The 9,354-nt window shown below is 43.0% G+C and overlaps 1 protein-coding gene across 35 annotated transcripts in view, besides 1 other annotated feature; it reads right to left on the bottom strand.

Moving 5' to 3' along the window:
• SSX2IP (SSX family member 2 interacting protein) overlaps positions 1–4,604 on the bottom strand; it is a 47,040-nt gene extending 42,436 nt beyond the window's left edge. For 14 of the 35 annotated variants that reach the window (XM_047444276.1, XM_047444250.1, NM_001166295.2 and 11 more), the window contains exon 1: positions 4,013–4,320. The gene's annotated coding sequence lies outside the window, so the exon portion shown is untranslated. Of the gene's footprint in view, positions 1–3,910; positions 4,321–4,532 lie in introns of those variants that run through there. The other 21 variants (NM_001166294.2, XM_047444262.1, XM_017000235.3 and 18 more) reach the window with 3 other exon arrangements.
• Positions 3,772–4,531: a silencer, noted in NCBI's record as "silent region_1024". NCBI's record gives its function as "represses an Ori minimal core promoter by ATAC-STARR-seq in GM12878 lymphoblastoid cells {active_cell/tissue: GM12878}" and the evidence as "EXISTENCE:reporter gene assay evidence [ECO:0000049][PMID:35858748]".

Raw genomic sequence — 9,354 nt, forward strand, 5'->3', positions numbered from 1 at the left:
CACATGAAGTAACTTAAATACTTTTTTGCTTTTTATCTTAATTTTTAAAATTTTTTTACAAAAAGCATACAATACTTTTATAATCTGAAAAAAAAATCTTTGAGACAGATATTATAGTAAACTGGGCAATTAATGGTCAGGGACCAGCTGGCTGACTTAGTCAGTGACTGAGGATAGTGAAGAACAGGTAAGAAATAATTCAGGACATGGTGACAAGTACACAAAAGGGAGGCATCTACTCTCTCACATAAAAACCTGTCTTTGGCACTTGACAGATAATAGTGTCATTTAGATAAAGGGAACAGAGGAGTAAAGTTAGTAAAACTGGGTTTGGGCAAATGTGTGGAGATAATGAGCTTTGTGTAGCTTACTGGGTTTGGAGATGCCCTTATGAGACATTCACATGGGGATAAACTCTAGGCCTAGAACTCACAAGACATCCGAGCACATTTAGATAGATGAATTCATAAAGAAAAAAGGGGCAGGAGAACAAACCCCAAAGAACATCAACATAAGCGAGTGAAGCAGACCCAGACACAAGAGATACAAAGAGACAGGGGAACGGACTTCAGGAAAGCCAAGGGAGAAGACTTTTAAAGAGAAAGGGTGATACACAGCAGCAAATGCCATAGAATGGGCAGGTTTTGAATTTTAAAAAGTGTTGAATTCGGTGATTAGTGACTTAATGACAAAGCTGAGGGGTAAAAATGAAAATCAGACTTCAGAAAGATGATCACCAAATAAGAAAAGGAAAATCACTTGTTCAAGAATCTCAGTTTAAAAGAATGTTAGTTTCTCTGAATGTAGAGGCTTTATTAGACGCTCATGGATAGATCTAGCATGACAAAAAAAAAATCCTGTCTTTAAAGTCTGTTCTTACTCAATTACAGCATTTTTATATCAAGTAGAAATATTAAGTGCTCAGTAAGTATGAGCTATTTTTCCAGGCATTGTTCTGGATACTAACCTATTTTTCTAATCACACCCCTACGAAGCAGGTATTGTTATTATCCTTCATAAATGCGACAACCAGGGCACAAGATCACATAGCTAGTAGTGTGGTAGATCAAACCGAAAATGTGACTCAAGAGAATATGAGAAAAGGATATGTGTGAAGCAAGAGTTAAAAGATGAGAACAACTGGAGTTAAGATTGTTCTGAATGTTTAACTGCTTGTAGTTTCATTTCTATTTAAAAACTTATTTTTGCTAATTTGAAAGACTATTTCTTCTCTCATCTCAGAATCCTACATTGCTAGAGTCTGACATTTTTATGTCTGACACCCAGATTCTGTACTGCATTATAACTGTGTTATTTCTCCTACTGAACTGCAGGTTGCTTGAAAATGGGGAAGTATCTTATTTAATTTGTATCCCTATTCTTCCAGTCTTCAAAGTAGAAGATACTTAAGAAAGGTTTGTTGTATAATTATTTCTGCTTTTCTGGAGTTTCTGAGGGCTTCAGCAAAATATACTTCAAGTCTAACTGCTGTGTGGGACTGTCTTTCAGATATTATTTGCACTATACTCAATACATTTTGGATCACTCAAATTACTGATTTTGGTGGAAATATCCTTCTAAAGTAAAAATAAAATATAATTCCCCTTCATAAAACCTTCTGAAGGTTCCCTGTAACCTACTGGTCAATGTTCACAGCACTGTTCTACAGCCTTATTAATATGGCAACCCCACCCTGGTCCAACTCTACCAAGCCACCTGTAACTCAACTGTACACTGCTGCAGAATGCACCAGCTGCTTGATGAACTCCACTGCCTCTACCAGACACAGCTGAAATTCTCCTTCTTTTTGAAAGCCTTCCTATATTTGTTTTTTGTGAGGTTTTTTTGCTTCCTGCCTCACTATGCTGATAATTTCTAAAATACAAATTCCTCAAGGCAACACTCATCTTTTTATCCTCAGGTCAGGCAAGTAGCAGCTTACTAAGCGTTTAATGAATGTTTATTGAAAGAATTACTAAAGAATAATTCAGTAAATCTGCTGGTACTACATAAAACATTGGCCCACAATCAAAAGGCACAATTCTAGGATGTTTTTCATTACTACTAATGAATGGTGCATTTCTCTATTCTATCTCATCCCATAAACTCGTGAATTCAAGATAACTTGTACCTTCACTACTAGCTAACCATATCACCATTACCAAAGCCACAAAACAAACCCACATCGTATCAAAACCTCTTTGCGTCATGAGCAAATGGTGAAACCAGTAAGGCATATTCACAGCTATTGTAAAAGATATGGAAAAAATAACTTAAAAATCTTTGAAATCGATCCAATTTAAGCATGTTAAATGAATTAAAATCACACAATTTGGGGGCGGTGTCTTTTCATGCACCTAATTTCTCTAGGGGTATACTACATAAAAGGCACTCAAACGCCTACTTTATAAAACCGGTGTCACGGCCTGCTTTGGCCAAAAAGCAGACTGTCAAGTACTAGGAGATCCCAAGTATACAATTGGACACTGTGCTGGACTTGAGGTCTTTAGCAAACAATTTCAGCGTAACATTTTAGTTTTCTCATATATCTGCCTCATTATGTTTAGAACATAATGTGCTTTAACAAGTCTTGTCACAAGGCACAATGTGTTATGAGATCTCCACATTTCATCCTAGAATAACTAAGTCTTCACAGTTATCTTCAAGCTGCCTCACCCATGTTACGTAATCCATGAGCTTTTTATCTTCCCTGTACAGTTGGGGAAAGAGAAGGGAAGGAAGAGTACAAAATGACTTGGCCTAAGAGGTTCAGCCAGTCACTAAAAGAGCCTTCGTTTTAATTATCAGTTCCTAACCCTCTTCTCAAAGAACCGTTTTGTTTGAGAAACCTTCATTAACAGCAGGCAGAACAGAGTGTTAAATTAGCTATTAGCTTTCCTTACTTGTTTAGTGTGAATGAATAACCTAAGCTTCCTAAGCCTGTAGGTTGATAGTTTTAGGATAAGAGATCTGATGGATCAAGTTTTGCCGACTGGATCCAAATTCATAAATCTACCTCTAACTTCTAAATTTCAAAATAGCTTGACGTGAACTTTAAAGGCATTTCTTTCCTCTCCAAATTTCTAATTCTTTACAAATTTTATTCACTCTCCTAAATGAGTCAACTCATACCAACCTTTCTAGTTCAGGATCAAACTGTAGGATCACCAGAATTTTCTTCTACCCCACAGTAAGCCAAACCCCCATGAACCATGAAAAGGTCCATGACATCCATCACCCACAGCTAACTCTACACCTTGACTCTAATCTGAATTGTTAGAAAGCCCAGGAAGTTCAAGAAGCCTCCACCCTTACACTTCTAAATCACCTTCTTTTCTAATCCTCAACCTATTACAGCGTCCAGAAAAGAGAAATCTCAATTCTCTCAGATTCAAGAACTTTATCAGCGTTGCTAGTAATCGCAGTTTGGCATTTACAACTATGGGTCCTGAAACTGGGTAATAATCTAAAAATTCCTACATTATACGTGCAGACAGCAAATTAGTATATTCTATGTCCTGGGCCCAAGCGATATGCCTAACTGGGCAATCAGCATAGGCTCAAAAAATGTGCAGGGAGCTCACAATTCAGTTTACTGTCGTTGACTATAAAATTCTAAACCAAAGTATTTTCATGATAAAATTATAAACCAAAGTATTTTCACACATGCCTGCCTCTTGGATGATGTAAATTCTTCCCCTAGACTTTTTACTAGACCACTATCGGGGTTCTCTTCCACTGCAGCGGCCACCCAATAACTCGTTTTAAAGACTGCCTCTTGCGGCTGCACTAGCAAATCGCCAAACCCCGCATGCCCCACGGCCGCTGCTGAGACTCTGCAGCCCCAAATCGGCCATCCCCTCCTCCCCCACGTCCCCGCGCTGCTCGTCCCCCAACGCCGGGCGCCAACCTTGCTCCATCCCAGAGAGGGTTTGGGGCTCCCCGGGTCAGAGCGCTCCGCAGGCGCAGCTCCGCGAACGCCAGCGAGAGCGGTCCCGGGGCCAGCACCTACCTCCCACCTCCTCCTCCAGGAGCGGCCCGGGTCGACGCTCGCCCGCACCCTGCAACGGCCCCAACAGCCGCGCGGAGCCTCCCGCCGAACAACGGGGCGCTGAGCCAGGTGCCGGCTCTCACCTCCGCGCGCGCCCGCCCCTTGCCGGCGCCCACCCCCGCCCGCCCCTCCCTGGCGGGGCGCGTCACAATCCCCGACGCGAGGCGCTGCTGCTCACCGTCACGGCCCCCGGGAGCGGCGGGGAGTCACCGCTCGGCGTCCTAGCCCGGCTCCCGCAGCCCGAGGGCCAGCAGCGCCTCGCAGCGCCTCCCGCCCGCGGCCCCTCCTCCGCTGCGGGCTCCCGCCTTCCCCGCCCCTTGCAGCCGCCTCCCGGCCTCCGCAGGTTTCCGAGGTTCCCACCCCGCCCCCGCGCGCCGGCGCCGCAGGCCCCGCCGCCTCCCATTGGCTCCGCCAGTTGCTAGGCGATGAACAACCGTGGCCTGCATTGGTCGGGTGGGGGCCTCGGTAGTCTCCTCCTTACCTCCAAAAAAACCCGGAGAAAAAGAAGACCTTATCCCTGCGGTCCGCGCGCGCTGCGGGCGCAGCTGCGGCTGCGGCACCTGTTACGCCCAGTGATTCACCCGGCCGTTTTCTGCTCCCCGCCCCCTTCTGACGCCTGCAGCGTCCGGGGCCGGGGCTCTGTGGGGGCCGGGACTCTGCAGGGACCGGGGTCGTGGCTACTTTAGAGCACGTTTTCCGAGCCCCACTGAACCCCAACACCCAGCCTAGCAGCAAAAGTGAAGCTTCCAGGAGAGCCACGTGCGTTTGCCAAAGTGGAGAAATAAACTGCGGGCACCTAGAATTAGGTCAGGTCCAAGGAACGGGAGGTTCAAGCGTCGGGAGTCGTGGATGCAAACAATCCAGCCGGGAGAAAGTTATATGTAAAATTAGGGCGAAGAAATGGATCTGGGCAGAAGACCGCGGGCAAAGGAAAGACTAAGAAATAGCATTCGTGAACTCAGTTTATGCAAAAATGTCTTACACCCACTCGACAAAGTATGTGCGATGAAAATGTATGCCTGCTGCACCCGTGGCCAGGGTCAGGCTGTCTCCTCCCTGGTTTCATGGCAGCCTAAAATTCACTGGGGAAGAAAAGAAAAGAGGCCAGAGAAAGGAGATCAGATGGAGAAATCACAGGCATATAGGTTACACAAAGATGTTCTTTGATTTTTGTTTTGTTTAGTTTTGGTGAAGCCAAGGGATTTATTCAAAAGGCGAAAAACAGGTTTGGTGTTTTAAGGAGACTCCTGAGAGCACTTTGAAACCAAAACAGTATGAGTGAAGATGCTAACACTGAAAAACAAGAGCGGGAGGAATGTCCACCTCCCAGTTTGCATGCACGTATCCCCAATCCTGGATGAAAGATCAGGGCCAGAAGAAGCACGCCACGGTGACAACTTCAGGGCCCAACGAAATCCTCCTCTTTTCCTTTGGCCAAGCAATCAGAGGCCCGTCTAGCTGCTGTTGAGCCCAGGTGGCGTTACCATTAACAGTTACATTTTTAAAAGGTTTGAACCAAGCTTAGTTGAGCTCTGGGAAGTTTAGCTCTGACCTCAGCAACCCCGGGAAAGGAATAAGATCTGCCTGAATAAACCAGCGGTCTCAATCTTTTGGTCTCAAGACCGCTTTCCACTTGTAAAATTATTGAGAGCCCCAAGAACTTTTCTTTATGTTGGTTACAGCTATTAATATTAAAACAGAAATTTAAAAATTGCTATTTTTTAAAATAATAATGAATAAAAATAAAAATGTCAAATAGCGCATTTTAATTAAAAATAACTATTTTCAAAAAATTAGTTAAAAGAATGGTGTTACTTTAAAATTTTGCCCATATCTTTAATGTCTTGCTTAATAGAAGGCATTTGGATTTTCATATCTGTTTGTGCATTCGATCTGTTGTGCTATTTCAGGTAGCGTCTGGAAAACTCTACTGTGCACTCATAATGAGAGGGAAAAAGGCAAATAATATCTTAGTATTATAACAAAAATAGTTTTGACTTTGCAGACTCCCTGGAAGGGTCTTGGAAACTTGCCGCCCCAAGGTTCAGCAGATCTTTGAAAACCACTGGTCTAAACCTCTTTGTACTCTGTCCCTCTTTGTTAACCAATAACTGGTTAAGGGGCTAAAAATATGACCTAATTCTGCTCAGTCCATAATGGGGAGTGGGGGATGAGGAGCTTCAGGGGAAGGATTTTATCCTGACAGACTAAGGACAAGTTTTTTCCTTCTTGCCTTGGACATCCTCCAGTAAGCCAGACATGTTTGGAGCTGTGGCAGCATATTCTGCAACCACGAGAGAAAAGCAAGAAAAATACATGCGTACCTCGTTTTATACTTCAATTTATTGCACTTTACAGGCACTGTATTTTTTTTTAATAAAGGTTTGTTGCTCAACCCTGCATTGAGCAAGTCTAGTGGCACCATTTTTTCTAAGAGCATGTGTTCACTTGGTGTCTCTGTCACATTTCGGTAATTTTTGAAATATTTCAGACTTTTCCATTAAATATGTTACGGTGATCTGTGATGTCACTATTGTATTATTTTGGGGGTGCCGCAAACTGCACCCTTATAAGACAGCCAATTCAATGTATATGTTGACTGCTCCACTGACTGGCTGATCATCTCTCTCCCTCTCCTTGGGCCTCCCTACTCCCTAAGACACAGCAATATTAAAATTAGGCCAATAAATAACCCTACAATGGCCTCTAAGTGTTCAAATGAAGGGAAGAGTCACATATCTCTCACTTTAAATCAAACGCTAGAAATGATTAAGCTTAGTGAGGAAGGCATCTTGAAAGCTGAGATAGGCAGAAAGCTAGACCTATTGTTCCAGTTAGCCAAGTTATAAATGCACAGAAAAAGTTCTTGAAGGAAATTAAAAGTCCTCCTCCCTTGAACACAGGCATGAAAAGAAAGTGAAACTGCCTTATTGCTGATAAGTAGAAAGTTTGAGTGGTCTGGATAAGAGATCAAACCAGCCACAGCATTCCTTTAAGCAAAAGCCTATCCAGAGCAAGGCCCTAATTCTTCATTTCTATGAAGGCTGAGAGAAATGAGGAAGCTTCATTTAAAAAGTTTGAGGCTAGCAGAGTTTGGTTCATGAGGTTTAAGGAAAGAAGCCATCTCCGTCACATGAAAGTGCCAAGTGAAGCAGCAAGTGCCGCTGTAGAAGCTGCAGCAATTTATCTAGAAGATCTGATTGATGAAGGTGGCTACACTAAACAGATTTTCAGTGTAGACCAAAAGAAAGCCTTCTATTAGAAGAATATGCCACATAGAACTTTTCTAGCTAAAGAGGAGAAGTCCCTGCCTGGCTTCAAAGGACAGGCTGACTCTTGTTAGGGGCTAATGCAACTGCTGACTTTTTATTTTTATTTTTTATTTTTTGACACAGGGTCTCAATGTGTTGCTCAGGCTGAAGTGCAGTGGTGCGATCACGGCTCACTGCAGCCTCAAGTGATCCTCAAGCAATCCTCCCACCTTAGCCTCCCAAGTAGCTGGGGCTACAGGCACACACCACCATGCCCAGCTAATTTTTGTATTTTTTGTAGAGACAGGGTTTTACCATGTTGCCCAGGCTGGTCTCAAACTCCTGAGCTCAAATGCTCCACCTCCCTCAGCCTCCCAAAGTGCTGTAAGCCACTATGCCCGGCTCCAGCTACTGACTTTAAGTTGGAGGTAATGCTCATTTGCCATTCCAAAGATCCTAGGGCCCTTAAGAAATATCTAAATTGACTTTGCCTGTGTTCTATCAATGGAACAACAAGGCCTGGCTGACAGCACATCTGTTCACAGCATGGTTAGTGAATATTTTAAGTCCACTGTTGAGACCTATGACTCAGAAAAAAAGATTACTTTCAAAATCTCACTGCTCATTAATAATGCACCTGGTTACCCAAGAGCTTTGCCTGCTAACACAAGATCTATTCTGCAGCCCATGGATAAAGGAGTAATTTTGGCTTTTAAGTCTTATTTGAGAAATACATTTCATAAGGCTGTATCTTCCATAGATAGTGATTCCTCTGATGGAACTGGGCAAAGTAAATTGAAAACCTGGAAAGGATTCACCATTCTAGATGCCATTGAGAACATTCATGGGCACGGAAGGAGGTCAAAATATATCAACATTAAGAGGAGTTTGGAAGAAGTTGATTAAAACCCTCATATATGACTTTGAGGCGTTCAAGACTTCAGTGGAAGAAGTAACTGGAGATGTGGTAGACATAGCAATAAAACTAGAACTAGAAGTGGAGCCTGAAGATGTGACTGAATTGCTTCAATCTCAGGATAAAACTGGAACAGATGAAGAGCTACTTCTTATGGATGAACAAAGAAAGTGGTATCTTGAGGGGGAATCTACTCCTGGTGAAGATGCTGTGAACGTTGTTCAAATGACAACAAAGGATTTAGAATATTCCATAAACTTAAACTGATAAGCAGCAGGGTTTCAGAAGATTAACTCCAATTTTGAAAGAAGCTCTACTGTGGGTAAAATGCTGTCAGACAACGTTGCATGATACAAAAATATTTTGTGAAAGGAAGAGTCACTCGATGTGGCAAACTTCATTGCATTATTTTAAGAAGTTGCCACAGCCACCCCAACCCTCCGCAGCTACCATCCTGATCAGTCAGCAGCCATCAACATCAAGGCAAGACCCTCCACTAGCAAAAAGATTATAACTTGCTGAAGGCTTCAAGATTTTTTTAGATTGTTAGCATTTTTTAGCAATGAAGTATTTTTCAATTAAAATATGTACCTTGTTTTTAAAGACATAATGCTATTGCATACTAATAGACAATAGTATAGTATAAAATAACTTTTATATGGACCGGGAAGCCAAAATACTATGTGACATCCTTTATTGTGATATTTGCTTCATTGCTGTGGTCTGGAACCGAACCTGCACTACCTCTAAGGTGTGCCTGTACAGAAAAGGCAACCCCAAGCCCAGATGTTACTGAGTGGCTACATTAGCCTACCTTGGCTCTGTATATCTCTACACTGCATATCATGTGAGACAGTAAATGGCCTATTGCTTAAGCCATTGTAGGCTTAAGCCTAAGAACATTTTTAGCCCAGGGCTAAAAGAAATTGGGCTTGATAGAACTTTACTATGGTAAGTGTATTAGGCCATTCTTGCATTGCTGTAAAGACTGGGTAGTTTATGAAGAAAAGCGGTTGAATTGACTCCCGGTTCTGCAGGCTGTGCAGGAAGCATGACACTGGCATCTGCTTCTAGGGAGGCCTCAGAAATCTCCAGTCATGGCAGTAGGTGAAGTGGGAGCAGGCACCTCATACGGC

The sequence above is a fragment of the Homo sapiens genome, chromosome 1, assembly GCF_000001405.40.
Source record: "Homo sapiens chromosome 1, GRCh38.p14 Primary Assembly".
Classification (NCBI taxonomy): Eukaryota; Metazoa; Chordata; class Mammalia; order Primates; family Hominidae; genus Homo; species Homo sapiens.